Source organism: Homo sapiens, chromosome 5 (assembly GCF_000001405.40).
Source record: "Homo sapiens chromosome 5, GRCh38.p14 Primary Assembly".
NCBI classification, from domain to species: Eukaryota; Metazoa; Chordata; class Mammalia; order Primates; family Hominidae; genus Homo; species Homo sapiens.
The window spans coordinates 171,657,345-171,680,473 of record NC_000005.10 but is presented as its reverse complement, the minus strand read 5'-3'; the positions used below and the strand labels follow the sequence as shown (position 1 = coordinate 171,680,473).

Genomic DNA, 23,129 nt, shown 5'->3' with positions numbered 1-23,129 from the left:
GGATGAAGCCAAGATAACACACAGATAACACAGTGAGAGGGAAAGAGGGTGTAGAGAAGAGAGAAGTGGGAAGTGGGCTAGGGAGGGTGAGAGGAGGAAGACAGAGAAGGAGACTGGGAGAAAAAACGGACTCCCAGTTCTTGGGTGCTGTGGCCCCTGCTCCTTTCTGTGGTTCCATGAGCTAATGAATTTGCTGAGCTGCTTGAGGTACCATGTTTCATAGCGTCTAACATGCCATCGATTGTAAGATGCACTATTATTGAAGGTGCCAATTAACTCTCAATGGATCGCAAAGCACAATGTTAAAATGTGGAACTCAGGGCAAAGGGGCTGTCCTTGAAGAGATGAATATGATGGTTCAAACTGGGCATCTGTTTCTCAAAGAAGAAAACTTCCAGTTCATTCATGTGCTCTTCCTCCCCACTCTGGAAACGCCCTGACACAGAAGTCCTGCAGTGTTTTCATCTCTTACAGAAGAGGTCTTTGGAAGGAGAGGGGGACAGCAAAGCCCATTCACCTGTGGAAACAGAGGAGTAAGGTACCGTAATGCTCCTTCTTTTAAGCAGCAAAGTTGCAAGCTCTGGGCTGGGGCAGATAGTAGAGAGTCCTCCAGAAGCACCTCCTATGCACCAGGGACACTTATTCTTCACATCAACCTTTGAGAGAGCTTCGGCTGCCACTGTTTTACAGCAGAGGAAAGCAAGGCCTGCTTCAATTAACCTACCTGACCAAGGTCAGGCAATAAAGGCATCACAGAGCCAGGATTCCAACCCTTCCCAACTGGCGACATCCTTCCCTCTGTGGAACTTGGCTGACTCCTTGCGTTTGGTCCTAATTAGCCCTAAAATTGTCAAACAAGACACACTCCAGTGAGAAGTGAGAGCAAAAGTGTTACAGCTCAACACTGTCTCTCAGTGACTAAAAATAATGTTCACCTGCCGTTGTTCTTAGAAATTCAGGAGAAAAACAAAGGGCCACATTCCCAGCTGCTGATCTCACCCTATGGCCATTCTATTTTCGTCTGAACATCTCCAGGTATGAATAGAGGCTTCAATGTGTTGGGGGGCAGGCCTGGGATCCAGGCCTGGACTATCATTGGCTCAAGGTATAACTATGGGCAGGCCACTTCCCTCCTGTGGGCCTCAGTGCCGCCATCTGTAATATGCCAGGAGCCAGGGCTGGACTAGCTCACTTTTAAGGCTCTTCCAAGTCAAATATGAACTTTAGTTGGTAATTTCGCTTAAGCATTTTATAGCTTGTAAAGATCTCACTTGGTCCTCTGATGAGGCAGTTCTCAACCTATTTTCTGTTGGTACACACATAATGAGGTTGTCGTACCTGGTATTCTCCACAATTCCACTGGCTAGCTGTAGTTTCACAATTTCCATGCCACTTAAGAGAACATATTAGAATGCAAATGAGGAGGGATGACATTGTCATGAGGCTAACCTTGGATATGCTCTAAGTTATATAATTTTAACCCAAATCATTTGAACTATCAGTGCTTTGTTGTAAGCCTATAATTACATTGCCAGGCTTTTCCCAACTGCTTCTGATCCACAAGTTTGTCTAGACACTGGATCAAAGCCACGGCTGTAATGAGCTCAAAAGGAGACAGCACAGGCTTCACATCTGTGTAAGGAGCTATAGTAAATGGCATTTTAATAGCTGGTGTCCAGATTCCTTCTAGGAAAGGAATTGTGTTTTACTGTGAACTTAATTGAGGTAGGGGAGGGTGGGGGCAGTGATCCTGAGGGCCCTGGGAGTCAGGGCTTCCAGGAGGAGAGCTAGGTTGCCCCCACACAATAGAGACAGAAGATGTGGAGTCCCCAGACATAACCCAGGAGGGAAGAGGTAAAGGGGAGAGGAGCCAGACAGTGAATGGAAGGCTGTGCTGTGTTGGATGTCTCCCTGCTCTATGATTCTCAAACATTTAGATACTCCCAAGTCCCTGGTGAGGTGTGTGTGTGTGTGTGTGTGTGTGTGTGTGTGTGTGTGTGTATCCAGTGAATGAGGCCATCAGCCCACATACGTATACTCATAGTGCAGGAACCAAGAAGCATGGCTAATGATGGGACCTCAAACCTCTGCAAATGTGCAGAAGTCTTGGAAGTTCTTGTCTGTTCCAGTCCATGGGATTGGGGGTTTCAGGCCACCCTAGTTAGACCTGAAGTGCTGTCAAAGCCCCATCCAACATCTGGGTTTTCACCCACTTTACAGATGAGGAGCCAAGAGAGTTTGCCAAATTGGACAAAACTGGCTCATTCCTTCCACTGGGCCCTGATTAGGCACTTGTTCTCTGTGGTTCCTGCTCCCAGTTTCTCCTGTTTTAAATTCGAACTTATTCATCAGCTTAGTAAATCCCCTTGATGACCCTAGCTTCTGCCTTTCCCTAACTCTGATTTACTTAGATTTTTTATTTTGAAATAATTTCAGATTTCCAAAAGCATTATTAAGATAGTACTAAGAGTTCCCATATACCCTTTACCCAATTTCCCTAACTTTAACATCTTCCATAACATTTGTCTAAACTAAGAAAACTCATATGATACCATTGACTAAACTACTCACAGACTTTGCCTGAATTTCATCAGCTTTTCCCTAATATCCTCTGTTTCAGAATGCACTCCAGGGCACCATGTTGGATTTAGTTGTTAAACCTCCTTAGTCTCCTCCTATCTGTGCCAGTTCCTCAGTCATTCCTTGTTTTTCATGACTTTGCATACTATGTATGTTGGCTCTCCATGTATGCATTTATCTACTAGTCAAATGGATCCATCAACTCATCCACGAGATGGCCGGCCATGTGTGGGCACTGGGAGCTCAGAAATGGCACTGAGAGCTCAGAAATGAATCAGGTGAGATCCCTGACTTCAAGGATTTAACAGTCAAAGAGACTAGCAAGAAACTAGCATGAAATCAGACTAATAAAAGCTATGACAGAGGAAAGCACAGGGCAGAAGAGCTGACCCCATGAGTACAAATGGAAGGGCTGGAGCCCAGGGCCAAAGCACAGAGCACTTTTGTCAAACTTTGCACTGAGGTAGAGGAATGATCCTCCCTCAAGGAGCCCCTGCAATGATACAGGGATCTTGATTCATAGGGCATCATTGCGGAGTGGGCAGACAAAATTGTCCCACAGCACAGCAGCATGCTTCAACAGAGATGCACATGCTCCATCTGTGACAGAAAAGGTATTGTAGTTGAATTGTGCCTGCTCCCCAAAATATGTTGAAGGCTTAACCCCTGGTACCTGTGAATGTGATCTGATTTGGAAACAGGGTAATAAAATTAAGATGAAGTAATACTGAATTAGGATGGGCCCTGATTCAATGACAGGTGTCCTTATAAGATGAGAGAAATTTGGACCCAGACACGCAGGGAAAATGCCAGTGACCACGGGGGCAGAGATTGAAGTGACGCATCAACAAGCCAAGGAGCGCCAAGGATCGAGGGCAACCACCAGAAGCTGGAAGGAGTAAGAGGGGATCCTTCCCTAGAGTCTTCAGAGAGGGCATGGCCCTGTCGATCCTTTGACTTAAGACTTCCCGCTTCCAGAACTGTGAGAGAATAGATTTTTGTTGTTCCAGGCCACTCTGTTTACAGTAATTAGCTATGGTAGCACTAAGAAACTAATACAGTAGCTTCTAGAATGGCTTCCAGTGGCCCCCACATCTTGGTATCCATGGCCGTGTATAATCCCCTCCCACTGAGCACTGCTGGGGAAGAAAATGTAGTGAAAGTGATGAATGTCACTTTCAAGATTAGGCTATAAAAGACAGTGACTTCTGGAGTTCTCATTCTCTCTTTGCCTCTCTCTCTTCTCTCTCTCTTTCAGAGGCCTCCTCTCTCTCTCTCTCTCTCTCTCTCTCTCTGTCTGTCTCTGGGTCTTCTTCCTGGCTTGCTCTGATGAAGCAAGTTACCACACTGTGAACTGCCCTATGGAGAGAACCACGTGATAAAGAACTGCGGTGGCTGCAGTCACCAGCTAGTGATTTGCTGAGACTCTCCGTCTGGTGCCCATGAGGAACTGAATCCTGCCAACACCACATCAGTGAGCTTGGAAGCTGACTCTTCCCCAGCGAATCCTTTAGATGACTGAAGCCTTGGCCAACACCTTGATTACCACCTTGTAGAGATGTTGAGCCAGAGAATCCTGTTAAGCAATACCCAGATTCTTGACCTGCAGTAACTGTGAGATAATAAACGTTGTTCTAAGCCACTCAGTTTTGGGGTAATTTGCTATGCAGCAATAGATAACCAATATAGCATATAACAGAAACAGATGGAATTAACAATAGCTGATTGTAGCCAGGTAGAAACATAGGTCCATTGTTTACAAGTCTGTAGATTTTTCAAGGAAGGCTGACTGGAAATCTAATTTTTAATGCAAAATTTCCAATTAGAGCAATATTTCTCAATCAAGGGAGATTTTGCACCCCAAGGGACATGTGGCAATATCTAGATACTTTTTTATTGTCATGTCTGGAGGGCACTCCTGGCTTCTAGAGGCCAGAGATGCTGCTAAACATCCTGTATGAGAAAAACATGTGGCCCAAAATGTCAATATAATGTACAAGACAGCCCCCTCCTCCCAGTATCTGGCTCAAAATGTCAATAATGCGACTTTGAGAAACCTTGAATAGAAAAACACTGTTTGAACTACACAAACAAGTCTGTTGATTACATTTGGTGGGAGTTTCCAGGTTGCAATCCCTATTGTAATGCTTTTTTATCTTATTTCATGGTGTGACTGGTTTCTGATACAGTCAGACCTCACAGGGAAGGAAATGGCTTTATTCTTTGTCACTATTTCCATTTAAACCTGCTCTGTTCCATCTCCCTCCCCTGCCTCTAGATGATATCTTGGGTTTCCCAATCGCTTTCAGGCATTAGAACATATCATTATCAGCTATTAAAAACTCAGCCACATCTAATATTAAAACTGATTTTCTCATCCAATTGAAAAGTTCTTTCCTCTCCTCAGTCTAGCCTCACCTGAAAATTCTTCAGATCAGCCCTTAAGAAGAGAGATGTATCAATCAGAGTTCAATGAGGAAGACAGAAATCATGCCAGGTATTTCCAACAAAGGGGGCTGAATACAGGAAATTGATTAAATGGGTGTTAGAAGATGGAGGAGCAAAAAGGGGGAAGGCACAGCAACAGAGATCAATAACTGCAGGAAGCAGCTGCCACCCCTAGGGCCATGGAGTGGGGAGAGAGAAGGTGTTGTTATTAAATTCTACAAGCTTGGAAGAATTTTTGTCATCTTCAGAGCTGGGGCCACTGGGGAGGAGCTGGTGCTCAGAAGCTAGGGGCTTGGAAGAGATGCAACCACCTGCAGAGACACTGCCAGAAGAAGGAAAGAGAGAGATAGAGAGAGAACAAACAATGGTTTGTTCACTCCTCTGTCCCCTCCTCCTACCTTCTGATCTCGTACTAGGGCCTCTTATTGACAGAATCTGAAAGGAAGTCAACTCAGAAAGCATCTTTTAATGCTAAGAATTTTAGCTTATAGACTCCCAGACCCCATTTTGCAGGGCGAACGCTAGAAGGTAGGTATGGAGCCAAGAGACAATGGTAGATATCACGTGAGCATGTCTGTTCTTTCATGACCCCATGGCCCTTGCCCCTCCATACCTCCTCCACTCCCTATGTTTGTTGTGGCTCCTTCAGCGCTGGGTTGCAACGGGAGAAGCAGTAAAGAGCCCCACAGGCCGAATGCCCTGTAATGTCTGAAGTCCGCTAAGCACATGTTCCAGCCTACTTTGGTGTTGGGCAATAGAGGATTGGTTCTCCATACTCTGGTCAGCCATTGAGCAAATGCTGCATCTCTCTTTTATAGCTTCTTCAGGGACCTCCTGATGGGGACCTTGAAACTCCCATTTTTTCTCTTAAGAGACAGTCCCTGGCTGGCAACATACAATGTCCCCAGCTCCTACGCTTTTGTGATATGCACCCCACAGAGACCTCCTGCTGGGGTCCTTTTGCCCTGGAAGGCCTTTCTTTTAGGAGAGGTCCTTTCCAGAAGGCTCTAGCCTAGCTAGTCTCATGGCGTTCACTTAGCCCATGGGAAAAGTCAACGTTTCTTTGCCCCACGAAACTCTGGATGGGCAAGTTACTCCCACAGCAGCACCCACTCTTTCATTAGTCCTCACAGGCAAACTAACCAGGCTTTTGCCTTTAGACATCTCCAGGTGAGAGTCAGGAACCATGTCTAGGTAACTCCAGGAAAATCAGTCAAGTTTCATCAAAGATTCTTCTATCAACTTAACCCTGACAGCACTACTGGATAAACCTACAGCAAAACCCCTGAAAAAAAGCAAATAGTACAGGCATAATTATTTCATATAACAAACTCCCAGGTTGGCTCAGAGGCTTAGTAAGTTTGGATTGGTGTCTCTATGAGTCTCTTTGGCCTTACCCTCATGGTGACAAGATGGTTGCAGCAGCTCCAGGAATCACATCTTCATCCACAAAGTCCAAAGTGAAAAGGAAAGGGGGTTGTGGGAGGAAAGGCCACTTTCCATCTCCCTCTGTCTTTTATCTCTCCCAAAAGGCCCTAGCAAATCTTCCCTAACATCTTGGTGGCCAGAAGTAGATCACACATTCAGTCCTAGACCAATGACTGACAAGGGGGAATGGAAAGACAAAGACTAGCTTAGAACAATCACGAGTCAACCTTTGAGGCCAGAATGAAATTGGGATACGTTTTCTAAGGAAGAAGGGGAAATGGCTGTTGGGTAGAGAACCAGCAGCATCTGCCACAGACATTTCGTTTCTTCAGAAGTTTTGCACTATGTAAATACTGCCCTAAATATTCCTTTGCATGGCCAGAGCAGTTATTTGCATCTCAGTACCCCTGTGAGCTGCAGGCTCCCTGCTCCTAGGCCAGTCATCACAGCCCTCTGTTTTGGCAGATCACCTGGAGTGTGTGAGTTGCTGGCCAGGGTTCAAATTTTCTGGCTGTGTGCCCAGGGACAGACTATTATCAGCTGATACAGACAACCTGATTACTTCCATATTTCCCCTTTCCTACTTTTGTTTTGGTTTGGTTTATCCTTTGAAAATTTCTTGAGTGCTTGTCTAGTCTAGTCAAAGCATTCTAGTCAATCCCAATCTCAGAGTGTGCAAAACCCAACATTAACAATTTAGAAAGAAACCTGAAATCAACTAACAGAATCTATTTTTCTATTAGCCACTTCTCTGGAAATGTTGCAGTGTGCAGTTTTGATTAGTGACTGGATTAAGAAATCCCACTGCCACCCACCAAGGGCTTCATCAGAAACTACATTTAATGAACCCCAATGATTAGATTCCCAATACGGGAATTTGTTGGTCAAATTGCAGAATAATTACTGGGCACTGTTACTTAGGGTAGGTATTGTTAGCTGTTGTAATAGACAATCTCCAAATCAGTGGCTTCACCCAACAGAAGTTTGTATCTTATCACATAGTCTAATCAGGGTTTCTTGGCCAAGCAGACTTCCAAGTAGGGATTCAGTGACCCAGGCTCCTTCCATCTTGTTGTTCCTCCCTCTTCCATAGTCCTAAATCCTCTCTAATCAACCAATAGATGGAGAAGAGGATATGGAATTACGCATGGGAGGCCTTGCAGGGTGACCCCTGGAAGTACACCCATCACTTGTCCCCACTCTCCAGTGGCCAGAGTACTCACTCACATCGCCATACCAACACAGGAGAGGCCAGGAAGGCTGACCCAGCTGTGCACCCAGGAGGAAAGCCCTCTCTGTCAAAGCAGGTGCCAGGCGCTTTATAGACATTATCTTGTAAGGTAGGTGTTAAAATTCCCATTTTAAGATGAGAAAGCCGAGGCTCAGATAGGTGAAACGTCCTGCCCAAGGTGACACAGCTCATATGTGTCAGAGGGAGAATATCTCCTATCGTTTTCTGCAATTGACTTTTTACTTTTACCTTTCATGTTTAGATGTTTAGTCCCCTTGGAGTCCACCTTTGTACATACTTTAACATAGGGATCTAGTTTTAGTTTTCTCTAGTTTTCCCCAAACCATATACTAGACAACTTTTTTTCATAACACTTGATGTTATGACTTTTTTTTCCAAAAGGGTCAAACCAATTTACCTTTCTACTACCATGTATGCATATGCCTGTTTCACTTCGCCTTCTTTAACAGCTAACATTATTATTTAAAAAGTCAGTGCTATTTGATGGTAGAAAAGTGGTAACTTATTTCTTTGGTTGCTAATGAGATTGCCTTCTCTCATTTTCTCCCCCAAATATATTCTTCCTTTGTGAATTATCTACTTGAATTCCTTATTCATTTATCTAGTAGGGTCTGAATAACTTTCTTATGGCTTCACATACATATATACATACAGATAGTAAAAGCTCTTTATCTAATAAAGATATGATGCCTTTGCCTGTCATTTTTGCTGCATGCATTTTCCTGTCTTTTCTATGTACAGATGTGCTGAATATTCCTGCTGCCAATTCTGTCCATCTCTTCCTTTGTGATCTTTTCTGATGCTTGTAGATTTAACCAGACCTTCCCAGAGGTCTGATAAATATTCATGTCTTTTCCCCTCTGTGGTTTGATTTTTTAAAACATTCAGTTCTTTAGTGCACCTGGAATGCATTTCAGTGCATAGTATGGCATGGAAGGGTCTAACTGCAGGTTTATAAGTTGCAAGAAGTCATTTACACCCCCTTCTACCCCATCCTGAGCTGCTTTTTCTTCTCCAGGCCCCAAAGAAGCAAAGATATTATAAGTGACAAAAAGTATAAGGCTGTGATCATTTTCCCCCAATTGAAGAGATTATTATTGTTGTTGTGCAGAATAGAACATTTACCATGTAGTAGAGTTCTCTTTGTTTTGCACAAATTGTGTCACTGAAATTAGCCATCAGACATCCTCATGGGATAGAAATCATTACCCCTATTTTACAGAGAAGGAAAACTAAGGCTTAAGTGACTTGCTCAAGGTCACACACTGGGGTGATTATTATTTTTTTTCTTTGCGCACCTCACTTTCTTTGCTTATTCATGACCTTGCCTTCTAGCTATTAACTTAAACCATGCTTGTTTTCTTGAAATTAAGGTAGAATGACATTAGATGAATTCACTTTTTTTAAAGCAACTTTGAAATGTTCAAGAGCCCCCAAAGTAGAAAAAGATACTGAAGAGGGTCCAGAAACTCCCAAAAGAGGTTGACACCATCCCATTGTGATATTTTCTGATGCTTCTAGATTTAAACAGATCTCGTCAACAGTCGTATAAACATTCTAGTCTTTTCCCCTTGTCACCTTGGTAATTACCATTGTCACCTTGGTAAACAAGAAGTTTACATGAACTGACTTTTAGGGGAATTAGCTCCAGGTTCCAGAGTCAGGAGCTCATGTGAATCTAAATACATGGGTGATTGCTAGTGATTTGGGTCAGAAGGGGGATTCTCATTTATTTGCCTTCCTGTTTTAGGAAGATTTTCATTTCTGTGAACTTGGAAGACTACCCAGTGAAGGGAAAAAGAAAAGACTGAGCAGAAAGGAGGTGGGAAAATGTGAGTAAACACTGACTCCCCACCGAGAGACCTGCTGGCATGGTACAGTGCCTCTTTGCACCTCAGTGTCCTGTAAAATGGGACTACTGACTGACCCCTGCTTTGCAGAACGAGCCATGGTGAGGATCACCTAAAACAGAACCCAGGCACGCCAGGCACCTGACCCGGTTAAGAGCCATCTCTGCATTCTGTTAGGCACTTCCCACATTGGTACTATGAGGAAAGCCCACCACGAGGATTTGGTGACGTGCCGAGATTGGCCAAGGTGCATATTTAGAAGCAGACTAGAAAAAGCTCCTAAATTAGGAAGGAAAGAGGATGCTAGAGAGGGAAGAAGGAAGACAATCTATTTTGTACCCAAAGGCCCATGTTGGTGTTCTACTCCCCTTCTATAGGTGAGGGAAGAATGAAGGCTGAGGGAAGTGCAGAAGTGAGCTCAGGTTCACAGAGGATTCAGTTCCCGGTCTCTGGGCTACACAGCCTGGGAGGGAGGGGTCTCAGGAAATAAAGGCGGGGGTACATGTAACATGATGACTTGGTCAGGAGTGAAGCACCATCAGGTGGTAAACCCCACAAGGACCCAGGTATCTTGACTCTTAGTAAGGTCACTTGGAGACCTTATGGTTTTCCAAGCCAGAAGAGTGACCAGCTCCGTGAAAGGTTGGGTATAGGAAGTGACCACGCGGCTCAGATCATAGTGCCATGTCCGGGAAATAAATGTGCCTTCTAGGCCAGCAAGGCCCTGATTACACGGCCTTGGCTCAATTAATAGGATAAGCAATAGGTACTTTTAGCTTGGCAAAGTGGTCAAAAACAGGTTGCAAGAATAGTCTGGGCCAAGCCATTCCTCCATAAACTACAAAAGAACCCTAATTTCACAGTTCCTTAGCTTTAAACCAATTTAAGTATATTAAACCCTTCAGCATCTATCATCATGGTAGCTGGGTGGCGGGGGTGGGGGTGGGTACAAGTACAAAGACCAGAGTGAGGATAGAGCAATGTGTGAGAAAAACCTGGATTCTGGTATAGCTCTACTGCCAAGAATATCTCCCTGCCTGGAACAGTTGGAAATGCAAGAGAGTATTTTATGATTTGTCTGTTTGTTTGCCAATTTCAAAGAAATCTTGATGTAGAAAGTTTGAAAAACACATAGAAATATAAAGAAGTAGGAAAAAATCACCCATAATCCAATCATCCAGTAATAACCAGTTTACACTGTGGTATTTTTCTCTCTAGAGTTTCTCTCTGGGCTTTTGTTTTTTAAATAAATGTGATACTTGGCTTGAGACCCATCCACTTCCCAAACTGGATGAGATGAGGCCTGTAACATCCTGAAAATATATATATTTCAGATTGTAAAATGTAATATGCTCATTAGAGAAAATCTAAAAAAATTTCAACAAGGATGAAGAAAATTAAATTAAAATTCCACCACGTAGAGAATTAACATTGGGGTGAATTTCCTTCCCATCTTCTTTCTTTACATTTCTTTGATTATCATACACATGTTTACCTAATTTTGCATTCTACTTTTTTTCCTTAACATTATGTCATGAGCATTTCCTCCCGTTATTGCACATTCTTTCAAGGCTACATAATATTCCTGGGTATGGACATTACCTACCTTATTTAACTCTTCCTTTATAATGAATGTTCGATTTTCTGAGCATTAGTTTTTTTTACAAATGCTTGCCCACAGCTCTTTTATTTCTCTAGGATTGATTCCTTCAGGAGGAATTACTGGGTGAAAGTGGATGAATCTTTTAGAGAATATGAATCTTTTAACACATACTGCTACGTCGTCCTTTGGAAGGGCTGTAACTGGAGCAGTGCAGGGGGGTACCTACTCCATTATACCCTTGATTTAACCTTGAGAGCTCTGCCTGTTTTACTTTGCAAAACGCTATTGCTACTTGAATCATTCCTGAGCTAGGACCCAAAATGGCTACTGCCTTCACTGGGCATGGCTTTGTGACATTAAGTCAGCCAGTTAACTCTTGACTCCATTTCCCCATTCTTACCACGATGTGTTCTTTAAATTCAGATGATTTCAGCTTAAAGTTGGAAATACTGGTTCACATTCCAGCTTCAGCTTTTTAAGATTGTATTTCTTAATCTGCAAAATGGGAATAATACCTAGATTACAGAATAATGATGATTAAAAAACAAAACAAAACATCACAACAACAAAATACGTAAATTGCTTAACACCATGCGCGGCACATAGCAGATGCCCAATGAATATTACAATTATCTTCTTTCCTCTCTTTATCCTCAACATAGAAAGCATTTGAAAAGTCAGGAAAAGTAGCATTAATCTATCAGATTTCTAGTTGAAGAGACCAAAGCTCAGAGAAGTGAAGTAACTTGCCTAAAGTCCTGGTAGCTGGTAAAAGACAGCATGAGGTCCACTCCCAAGATCTAAAAGAGGGGACAGCTGCAGGGCTAAATACGGCCTAGGCATCTGTTTTATTTGGCCCACATAACCAAAAATAAGTAAGAAAATAGGATAAAATTAAATAAAGACAACGTTTAAAAAGAGGAGCTTTTACATCCAGATATGATTTCTGGTTTTTCTTGAGAAACATTCAATCTGGTGACGGGGCTGGTGGAGTCCACTGGTGCCTGTCCCCTTTGCAGAGGCCACGCATTTCCAGTTCTCCAGGTCTACACTGGGTGTCCGTGGGTTTGAGATACTGCGCGGTTCCTGGGTGCACTGGAGTTTGCGACCCCTGCTCTGACCCACTGTGATATTTCAATGTAGGGCTTCTGGCCACCTCCCAGGGTACGCGCTCCCGCTAACCTCAGACGGCGCGGGCCCGGACGCCCGCCCCGAGGCCGGAGAATTGCCCACCGAGCCAGGTCCTGCGGAGGCCCGTTGTAGTCAAAGAATGTGAACGTACATTGTTCTCCGCCCAGCCGCATTCATGCGGGGTGAGCTCACCCTGGCCCGCTGCCTCCTTCCCCCAATCTCTCCAATTAAAAACATATTACCTTCCCGCTCCGCCAGGAGCAGCCCTGGGCCGCAGCTTTATTTTATAAACACATTTAGACAAGTTCAAAAAGGAATGATTCATGCTGGACCTGAGCACTCCTAAAGGCGAGGGCTGCTGAGCATTTTCACAGGGCACGCATCCTGAGCCGGACCAGGCCCGGCCCTCGGGGGGTATCATCTCTCCCGCTCGAAGGCCGGGATTACCTGGATGCAGCTGGAAGGACTTACCCACAAGGCCACCTTTCGGCACTCCCAGCGCAGCCTCAGTCAGGGGTTGCGCCCAGACCAGATCTAGCCACCGGGGGCTCCCGGAGGGGAAGGGCGCAGGCCCTGCCCCTCCCCCGCTGGGAGGCTTCCTCTGATCCCCAATCCTGTCCCCCAACCCCAGTGACCCCTCCTCCTCTCTCCTGAGCGGCTCAGCTCAGAGGCTTCCAGGCCCACCCTACCACCCTGGGTGAATTCCCTCCTTCAACCCACTCCATGCAGCACTCCTGGAGGGTGTACCCTGGAGGGTCTTTTATGCTCTTTCCACAGAGCCAGGCTTAGTGTCTGGCACAAGGAAGGGCACGCGGCAGGTGTCAGATAGAATCACAGTAGCAAGAATGAGGAGCTTGTTGAACAGACAGCATTGAGAGGATGCCAGGCACATACTTAGTAATTTACATCTATTCTTTCATTTAATCATCACAAGCACCCTGTGAAGTAGGTGCTGTTTGTGACAAGGCCATTTCACAGATGAGGAAATTAAAGAGTGGCGGGATTCGGTTTCAGCTGGACTTTACCTACAGGGTTAGCCTTAGCTGTCAGAAGTGAAAGAGCCCATTGGCCATTTGATCTTGTCACTTGACTTGACAGGTCTACAAACGGAGGCCTGGACAGGGAAAGACGTCCCTGAGACTATAAAGGATGGCGTAGCCTCAGCAGGAGACCCAGCTCCCTGCCTCTGTGGGGCACCACGTCGTGCCAGCCCCTGGCATCACGCCTGACACATAGTACGAATTCAGTGGATATTTCTGAAGGAGTGAATTTTTTGTGACACTCCCCCTCAGACCTCAGTTACCCCGACTGTATCTTACTCATATCTGAATCCCCAGTGTCCAACATCAGACCTAGAACAAAGTAGGTTCTCTAAGGATATCTGTTGAAGCAATGGATCAGCGTCTGATTGTGCCATTAGCCACTGCACTTTAATCCTTCATTATTAGTTTACAGTTACTGGGTTATTAATTTTCTCTCCTCAACTGAAGGGTAAACATGGGATCTTCTCCCTCCTTCATAGGCACGGCTATGCTTGGCACACAGAGGTGCTAATTCCATGGATGATCACTCACTGGTTCTTGCCCTCATTACTCTCTATTGAGCACCTACTATGTGCCAGGCACTGTGCCAGGTTCTGGCCAAGAGGTGTGATACAAAGGCAAGTCCAACCATGACCCACCCCCAGGAATGACCACGGTAGCATCCCGCAGCAGCTGTCTCTGCTGGTGCTCACTGTGACCATGATGGGTGGGACTGTGGGGGCCTCGTCTAACTTCAGAGGAGTCTGGGATGAGGAAGTTGTCTGAAGTCCTTGGTCTTCTCTGCCCATTCTTCACCAGTCTTCCTAACCCCAGTCAGTCCAGTGGTGCCAATCACCAGGAGCAGGAAGTTGCCAACTGTATTCTGCTCATTGATCCAGTCACTCAACAAACCTTTATTAAGTGTCCACTGTGTGCCAAGTCCTGTAGTTGTAAGAAATAGACTGCACTTGGCTGGGCACGGTGGCTCATGCCTATAATCCCAGCACTTTGGGAGGCTGAGGTGAACGGATTGCTTGAGCTCAGGAGTTCAAGACCAGCCTAGGCAACATGGTGAAACCCCGTCTCTACTAAAAATGCAAAGATTAGCTGGGCATGGTGGCACATGCATGTGGTCCCAGCTACTTCACGGGGCTGAGGCTGGAGGATCTCCTGAGCCTTGGGAGGTGATTGTGCCACTGTACTCCAGCCTGGGAGACAGAGACCCTGTCTCAAAAAAAAAAAAAAAAAAAAAAGGAAAAGAAAAAAGAAAGGCAGAAATAGCCCACAGTCAGGAGCAACCTTGCCAGAAGTGTCTGTATTCATTAGAAGGCTCATGGGGCCAAGTGAGAAAACGTAGGTTCAGGCAAAGGGGGAACTGATGAGCACCTATCATCAAACACAGGGACGGCCTCAAGCACTGCAAAGAGTCTTTCTCTATATATCATATCTTTGCCTCTTCTTCTTAGGGCTGGCCTTTTTTCCCTTGTCACAATAAGATCATGGCCACTGTCAATATTAGGGCTCAGGATTCCCAACTTCACCCCCTTATCAGTCTAAATAGAAAATCCCCAGGGAAGCTGAAAACAGAAGAGAAGGTGCTGCTCCAATAACATAACAGAGTGGGTGACAATAAGCCTGTTTCTAGGTCATCCTTTTAGTGTCCTTGGCCTGTTTCATCTTGATTCCTATATCTAAGAGCCTGATTCATAGATGATTTGATGGTGAGGTGAATGAGTTACATGATTTTGGTTGTAAGTAGATTTTCTAAAAATAATTGTTGTTGGGAAGGGTATTCAAGAGCTCTCATAGAATTCAAAGACGCACAGAACAATGAGTCACAGAAAAGAAGGACCCCAGTGGCCACAGGTCTTCCATGCTTGGGGTTCACAGAACCTTTTCCTTATAGCATCGCCCTTTATGGGATTCACCTCCAACAACAACCAGGCTCAGTAGTTCCAGCAACTACCAGTTCAGTTCCAAATGTCAGATCCATGGGGAACAATTGGAATTGGCCTGGTGTGGGTCACTTGCTCATTGTATGCCAAAGAGCAGGTTCAAGAGGTCGGGTCACATTGTACTAATATGACAACTCTTATCGGAGCCCTGGGTGGAGGGTGAAGCCCAGGTGATGGTTTCCAGAAGATGGTGATGAGCAACCAAGCCACAGAAAGCACTGGCTGGCAGGGGGCACCCTGATTTTGGGTCAAAGCTCTTCCATTGGGAAAATCCAGGTTGCCTGCCTTCCAGGGAAACCACTTGGCTTAGAGGAATCAACAGGGGTTTGGGAGTCGGAATTGGATATAAATCCTTGTTCCACCACTTCCTAGGTGTGTGACCTTGAAGATATGACTTCCCCTCTCTGAGCCTGTTTCCTCGGGTATAGAACGGAAGTAATAATGCCTCCTTTGTGAAGGGCGATGTGGGAATTGAATATATCCAACATATTAGGTGCCTGGAGCCTGGTAAATGCTGAATAAGCAAGTTGACTTATTTTCCCTCTCAAGGATTTTGTGTTTGTGACAATGAATATACTTGACATCTGAAACAAGAAGACATAACACTCAAATTCAAATGCTTCCAGAAGCCTGACAGTGACATAAATGAATTAAGAGGGCCCAGTGTAAGGAAAGGCCAAGCAAGGGAAGTGACACTGAGCTCAATGACTTGAAGCAGTAGGGAAAGAGGCACAGCAGAGAGCATGCACCTTATACAGGCTGTAGCCATGACCCTTCCAGCCAAGTGCTGCCATGCAGGAAGGTGCAGCCCGTGTTGTCAGATCTTTGAGGTTTTAAGGAAAAGTTAGAAATCAGATTTTCATAGGAAATTTTCTAACTTTTAAATATTGGCAACGAATTCAAAACTTTAAAAATTAGTAACATCAAGAGAATGGAAAAACTACAGACTAGGAGGAAATATTTGCAAAAGATATATCTGATAAAGATATCAGATTATTAATCCAAACTATACAGAGAACTCATACAACTCAACAATAAGAAAATGAACAACCAATTAAAAAATGGGGAAAGATCCGAACAGATACCTCACCAGAGAAAATATACAGATGGCAAATAAGCATACGAAAAGATGTTCCACATCATATGTCATTAGGGAATTGCAAGTTAAACAACAATGAGATACCACTAACTGCCTATGCGAATGGCTAAAATCCAAAACACTGACAACAACAAATGTTGGCGAGGATGTGCGGCAGCAGGAAGTCTCATTCATGGCTGGTGGAAATGCAAAATGGTACAGCCCCTTTGGAAGACAGTTTGTCAGCTTCTTACAAACCAAACATACTCTTACCATACGATCCAACAATTGCACTCCTTGGTATTTACTCAAAGCAGATCCAAACTAACGTCCTCACAAAAGCCTGCATGTTTACAGCAGCTTTGTTCATAACTGCCAAAACGTAGAAGCAACCAGATGCCCTTCAATAGGTGAGTGGATACATAAACTGTGGTACATCCAGACAATGAAATATTATTCAGTGCTAAAAAAAAAAAAAAGAGCTATCAAGCCATGAAAAGATAGGGAGGAAACTTAAATGCATATTACTAAGTGAAAGAAGCCAATTTGAAAAGGCTACATACGGTATGATTCCAAGGGAATGACATTCAGGAAAAGGCAAAACTCTGGAGACGGTAAAAAGATTACTGGCTGCCAGGAATTAAAGGGAGGGAAGGAGGGATGAATATGTGGAGCACAAAGGACCTTTAGGGAAGTGAAATGCCTCCACATGATAGTGTAATAGGGAATACATGTCACTGTATATCTGTCCAGACCCATACAATGTCCAACACCAAGAGTGAGCCTTAATGTAATCTATGGTCTCTGGGTGATACATCAGTGTCAGGGTAGATTCATCAGTTGTAACTAATGTACCCTCTAGTGGGGACATTGATAACGGGGGAGGATATGCGTGTGTTGGGGCAGCGGAATAAGGAAAATCTCTGTACCTGCCTCTCCATTTTGCTGTGAACCTAAAACTGCTCCAAAAAATCAAATCTATTAATTAAAAAAAAAAAAAGGATAGGCTGGGTGTGGTGGCTCCCACTTGTAATCCCAGCATCTTGGGATGCCAAGGTGGGTGGATCACCTGAGGTCAGGAGTTCGAGACCAGCCTGACCAATATGGTGAAACCCCGTCTCTACTAAAAATACAAAAATTAGCCAGGCATGGTGGTGTGCACCTGTGGTCCCAGCCACTTGGGAGGCTGAGACAGGAGAATCACTTGAACGCAGAAGGTGGAGGTTGCAGTGAGCCGAGATCCCGTCACTGCACTCCCACCTAGAGTACAAAGAGAGACTCTGTCTCAAAAAAAAAAAAAAAAAAAAGTAACAACCTACCTATGGGCTGGATTTGATCTGAGGACCCTTGGGCTGCCAGTGTATGATTCCTGAGAAACAGAGCCCACCTTCTCAAAGCCAAGCACCACCTGGTTTCAGGACTTCATCTTTCCAACCTGGTACGCATATTAGGTGAAAGTGTCTTCACATTTCTAGGTTGTAGTCACCACCAGAGATGCCTGTACCTGCCCATCAGATGTTTTAATTAGCACAAAATAATAAAAGTGGCCATATGGAGGTAAAGCAGTTCTAGGCCCCAGCCCAGGCAACCTGCCTGGAGTTCAGTGACAGTCCTTAGGTTCTGGAATAAAGAACAGTGGAAGACCTCATCACTGCCTTCTTAACCTGAATGTCTAGCCTGGAATGTCTGTGGTAATTAAGGGAAAAAAAGAGAATCATGAGAGGGGACTCGAGGGTCAGACAGGGAAGATCCTCCTTAATCCCAGTTATGGAGACAGTGGACCTGGTCCTGCTGCTTGGAGCCCTGTGGAGGGAGTGGTGTTGGTGGCCCGTGGTGTAGGGGTGGATGCTGCTTAGGGAACCACCATGAAGCTGACTGGAAGGCTTTGTAGGATCCTGAGCAAAGACCAACACACTCTGCCCCCCACTAAGTTACTTCGGCCTGGGTCTCAAAATTACACCAAAGCACTGCTTCAGTCAGGTGACCAAGGTCAATATCAGCATCACCAATCACACTGACAGCATGTACTCTTAATAAGACGTGATGAAAGTGGCACTTTACCTCTGTGATCTTTTTCTCAAAAACCCCAGTCAAATTACCAGAAAAATATCAGGCAAATACCAATAGAGGGGCATCCTACAAAGTGCCTGACCAGAACTTACCAAACTGTCAAGGTCATCAGAAGTAAAGAAAGTCTGGGGGAAACTATCACAGCCAAGAGGAACCTGAGGAGACATAACGACGAAATGTTGATGATGAAATGCGATATGATGACCTGCATAGGGTCCTGGAACAGAAAGAGAACGTTAGGTAAAAACTAAGGAAGTCTGAGTAAACTATGAGCTTTAGTTAATAATATAAACTATGAGCTTTAGTCAATCATATAGTGTCAACATTGGTTTACTAATTGTAACAAATGAACAGCATTAATGTGTGATGTTAAAAGGGGAGGCTGCGCAGGTGTTGGCGGGAGAAGAGGTGATAGACAAGAACTCTCTGTACTATGTACCATTTATCCATAAATCTAAAACTATTCTAAAAAGTAAACATTATTAATTGAAGTTCATCGGTTTAAAAAATCATGCACACAATGAAGACTTTGAAGTCAGATAAGCAGATAACCTGGATTTGCCTGTTGCCTTTAATACAACTTTTGGGCTGGGCAACCTTGGACAGATTATTTTAACCTCTTTACGCCTCTGTTTCATCATTTGCTGTGTAGGGCTAAGAATAGTTTTAAATTTTTTTTAACTCACTGGGTTGTTTGGAGAATAAAAGAATGTGTTGCCTGTGGAGTGCTTGGCTCAGTGCCTGCTACATATATAGCACTCGTTAAGTGATAAGTATTATTATAGGCATATATTCACATACACATGTACTGGGGTTATTACTGATGCAGGGTTTATTTTTATTGTTCTATTTTATTATTTTTTAAAAGCAAAAACTGTCATTTTTAAAAGTGTCATCCAGTTCTGTTCCTAGCATAAAAGGTCTTTTGTGTTTAAGCCAAAAGCACTTGAATTGTTTTTCTAATTATGTGGGCATCAGACAAGCAGACATTCACTGTCTGGGTTCGAATTTAGAAGCGGGTAGGTATTTGTTTTCATCAGAGCCGAGGGCTTCGGCCTTTTAGTGGACTCCATTTCCCCTGCTACTCCTTCCTACTTCATGGGGCTTGATGGTTACTGGGAGGAAGGTGAGGCTATCTGCATACAGGCCCAGAGGACTTCTGGAAGGAATGGGACTGAGACCCCAACACTCATCTTTGAGGTTCAAAGTTGTGAGAAGGCCTCTGATGACGGACAGCACTTGACCAAACGCTCCCTCACCCTGTCCAGCCGGAAAGGAGGTCTGGCTCAGGAACCCAAGCTCAACACTGTGGGTAGGTGAGGCCGCCAGTGTGCCAATGCTGAACCCAGCCTTGTGGGTCCAGCACCTGGCATCGCCTCCTTTGGCACAGAGGCCTATTGAGCACACCACTAGAACCACGGGACTTCCTGTCCCATTCTACACTGAGAAATGCTGACTCAAGGGGTCTAAGCTGCTGAAGTCACCACTGTAGCAGACAAAACCCCACACACCGCCTGTTTCTCTGCCGCACCCCACATGGGGTGAGAGAAACCTTGCTTCTGAGTGGTAAGCTCCCTGTTTTATCCAGAAACGTCATGTGGCTGCAGCCAAGGACACCATCAGACTTCCCAGTTTTCTCTTCCAGAAGATAGTAACCAGGCCTTATGTCCTGGTCCAAGTAGGCCCTGGACAACTTGATCATCACAGAAGGGCCACTGGGGAGAAATGACTTTTTTACAGTAAGCAGGAGATGCTATAATTTGGCTCTTAGCAGAAATGTGACCTCATCTGATGCCTTGAGCTGGAGGACTGTGCACTGGTTACCTGCAGAAGTGTCCATACACACAGACACTTGTAAACACACTTACGCATGTGCACCATGCACACACATGTACGTGCAGACATATGCTGCCCGCACTGCTTATTGTCTTGGCAAGAAAAGTTCTTTTTTGCACTCAGCTTTTCTTCCCAAGTCTTGGATTCTTGGAAAGGGACTGCAGCTGGGGATGGGGGGTGGGGAAGGAACAGGGGAGCGGCAGACCATGTGGAGAGAAGCTAATTTGTTTCTGCAGTCGACAGATGGGGTGAGGACAAATTACACAGTGGGTACTAAAACTCCTTTTTAAATTCAACAGTATTTGCAAACTGATCTGAGCCCCCCAGAAGCAATAAGAGCAAGTGTACAATCTGAGAACCAGTTCCAATGTCTCTTAAGGGTGGGGCTGTTTAAAAACCTTTAAAGGATGCCTGGCCTGTAGTGTGTATATCGCCACGTAAATATTAGCCACAGCCTCATAGGGTCACTAGGAAAAAAAATGATACATACATCTTGGATGTACAGAGAGTTTCCTGCTACAAATAGATGTGAGACCCTTTGGATATTCTAAAATGACTACATTTAAGGTATAAAAGAAAAAACTATTTTTTTTGGTCATTTTTTGGTCATTGTAAAACAATGTATGTTAGTTGTAGAAAACTTGGAAAAGTATGAATAGTAAAATTTCCTCCACCCAGAGAGATTGGGTGTTATTTTAAATAAATATTTATGAATATTATTGACACTTGAGTATATATGCACCCAATCTAGGTAGAGCTATAGCTATAACTATAGCTGTATGACTTGCAAATATTGTTACATGAAACGGAGGTACTGAGCGTTTTCTCATGGTCACTTGAAATAATGTTAATGTTCATCTCTGCAAGTGTAAGCACACAGATCTTTTTAAGCCATGAGAATACTTAGGAAAGAGAACAGAAATGGCTGCCCCACCCCCAACCTCCTCCATCCCTCCTGATCCCCCCGCCCCACTCTCCCCACCCCCACTGCCTAGAAGAGTGGGCTGCTGTGGTGAGCTTGGATATTCAGCATCCTTGGAACATTTGTGCACATCTGGAGGAATGGTTACGAAGATTAATGTCATGCTCAGTGTCAGAACTCCCCCTGACATTTCCTCAGTTTATCCAAACAGTTTAGGGGAGCTCTCTGGGGATTAGGAACCACACTCAGCAGTGCAAGGCCGACACTTAACCTCTTGAATTCTCATCTCCCTGGAGACACGCGTGCAAGTTTTATCCTTTAATTGCTAAAACAATGAGGTCGTGTACAAAACCAATACAGCAAGAGCTTGAGATAGTTTCAGGCAAGTATGCGAAAAAGGAAAATCTGGACCCACTGGGTTTATGGAAATTATATTAATATCTTTAAGCAAGGTTTGAAAGCCAATAGAAATGGAAACTAAATGGTAAATAAATTCATGTGTTTGAAACCATTATGTGTATTAAACAGGATCTTGAAGCAAATGAAGTACTTTAAGTGTGATTCAGAGAATATTTTGTTATCTTTCTTTCCTACTATGGGAAGAGATTTAGCTTCATTTTAAACCAGTTAAAGACTGTTTAAAAATTATTTCTCTTTATGAATAATGTATGTCATGTAACCAATATGTCTTCCATATTGCTTTGGCTGCCAGGGGGCTCAGGAACTCATCGATTCAACTTAAATTACTACATAGGTCTTGCATATCTATGTTGTAATATTCCCTCTGGTTTTGATTCTTTTGATTTTTTTCCCCTGATCCTGGTTTTTATCTAGTTAGAGTTTTGTTTTATTGCATGTAGTTTTTTGTAAGCCACCTCAAATCTTTTGTTAGATAGATTTGTAGATCAAAACAACTTGGATCTGTGGTTTAGTTTAAGAAGAAATGAACATTTTGGTTTGGTTTTGGAGTTCAGCAAATTAGTGTGATTAGCTCTGATTTGAGGTTTACAGTTCTATTACGTTAAAGTCCTTGGTGTTTAATACATCAAAGGGCCTGAGAGCTTGCACTTAACCTCCTGCGTGTTAACACTACACGGTGCATTGCATGTCTGTCTCCAATGATCACTGAGTAAGAAGCTCTTGGAGATTCTGTCCTGGAATCTTGCTCACCCTTTAGGCATGGTGGGATGGATATATGAGGCCCAATTTTCAAACACAGAGTCAATGAAGAGTTGAGGAAGGAAAGTGACCATACTTGCTCCAACATTTCCCTGTATTTTTGCTTTTAAAGAGATGAAAGCCCAAATCTTCTGTATGCAAGAGGATACATGTCCTACTTTGTTCAATATTCTACTTCCTATTATAGCAATTCCAGAATCATCCACCAAGGTCACACGGAGAGGTTCTTACATCCTGCACCTGTCCACCTTTCCAGGAGTCAGGGACCTTCCCTTCAGGAAAAGGAGAAGCTCTGGCATAAGAGATAGCAGATAGCACAGTCTCCCCAGGGAGGAGGAAAGATCATAAACAAGGCTTGGGCTTGAATTCCAGAGCTTTGACTCTCCACATTGGCTCTGGTGGATCCCCCAGGGAAGCCCTTGGATTCCGTCAAAGACCACTAATTTATGTTAACACCTAGACAGAGGATGCTTGTTGGGGTGGAATCAGGCACACTGGGTTCTGGTTGCTGCAAGGACACTCGCTCTTAGTCAGACCTCATGCCAACTCCTTAATATCTCTTGTGTCTTTATTGCTCCAAGGCCCAACAGAGGGGTGAGGAGGCTGACAGAAGGGAATCCATTCATCTTGACCTCTGCTGTTTTTCAGAGACCATGTTTTCCACTTACCGGCCTCATCATTTATTAGCTGCATGGCCTTGAGCAAATGACTTCATCTCCCTCAGACTTTGTTTCCTCGTCTGAACGTGGAAATGATGTATTGATCATGAAGCTAA

General features: G+C 44.2%; 3 annotated features.

The window, feature by feature from the left end:
- Nucleotides 284-783: an enhancer, noted in NCBI's record as "H3K27ac hESC enhancer chr5:171106695-171107194 (GRCh37/hg19 assembly coordinates)". NCBI's record gives its function as "activates a minimal SCP1, AML or CMV promoter by ChIP-STARR-seq in primed H9 embryonic stem cells {active_cell/tissue: H9 hESC(primed)}" and the evidence as "EXISTENCE:reporter gene assay evidence [ECO:0000049][PMID:30033119]".
- Nucleotides 11,649-12,226: an enhancer, noted in NCBI's record as "H3K27ac-H3K4me1 hESC enhancer chr5:171095252-171095829 (GRCh37/hg19 assembly coordinates)". NCBI's record gives its function as "activates a minimal SCP1, AML or CMV promoter by ChIP-STARR-seq in naive H9 embryonic stem cells {active_cell/tissue: H9 hESC(naive)}" and the evidence as "EXISTENCE:reporter gene assay evidence [ECO:0000049][PMID:30033119]".
- Nucleotides 12,227-12,805: an enhancer, noted in NCBI's record as "H3K27ac-H3K4me1 hESC enhancer chr5:171094673-171095251 (GRCh37/hg19 assembly coordinates)". NCBI's record gives its function as "activates a minimal SCP1, AML or CMV promoter by ChIP-STARR-seq in naive and primed H9 embryonic stem cells {active_cell/tissue: H9 hESC(naive and primed)}" and the evidence as "EXISTENCE:reporter gene assay evidence [ECO:0000049][PMID:30033119]".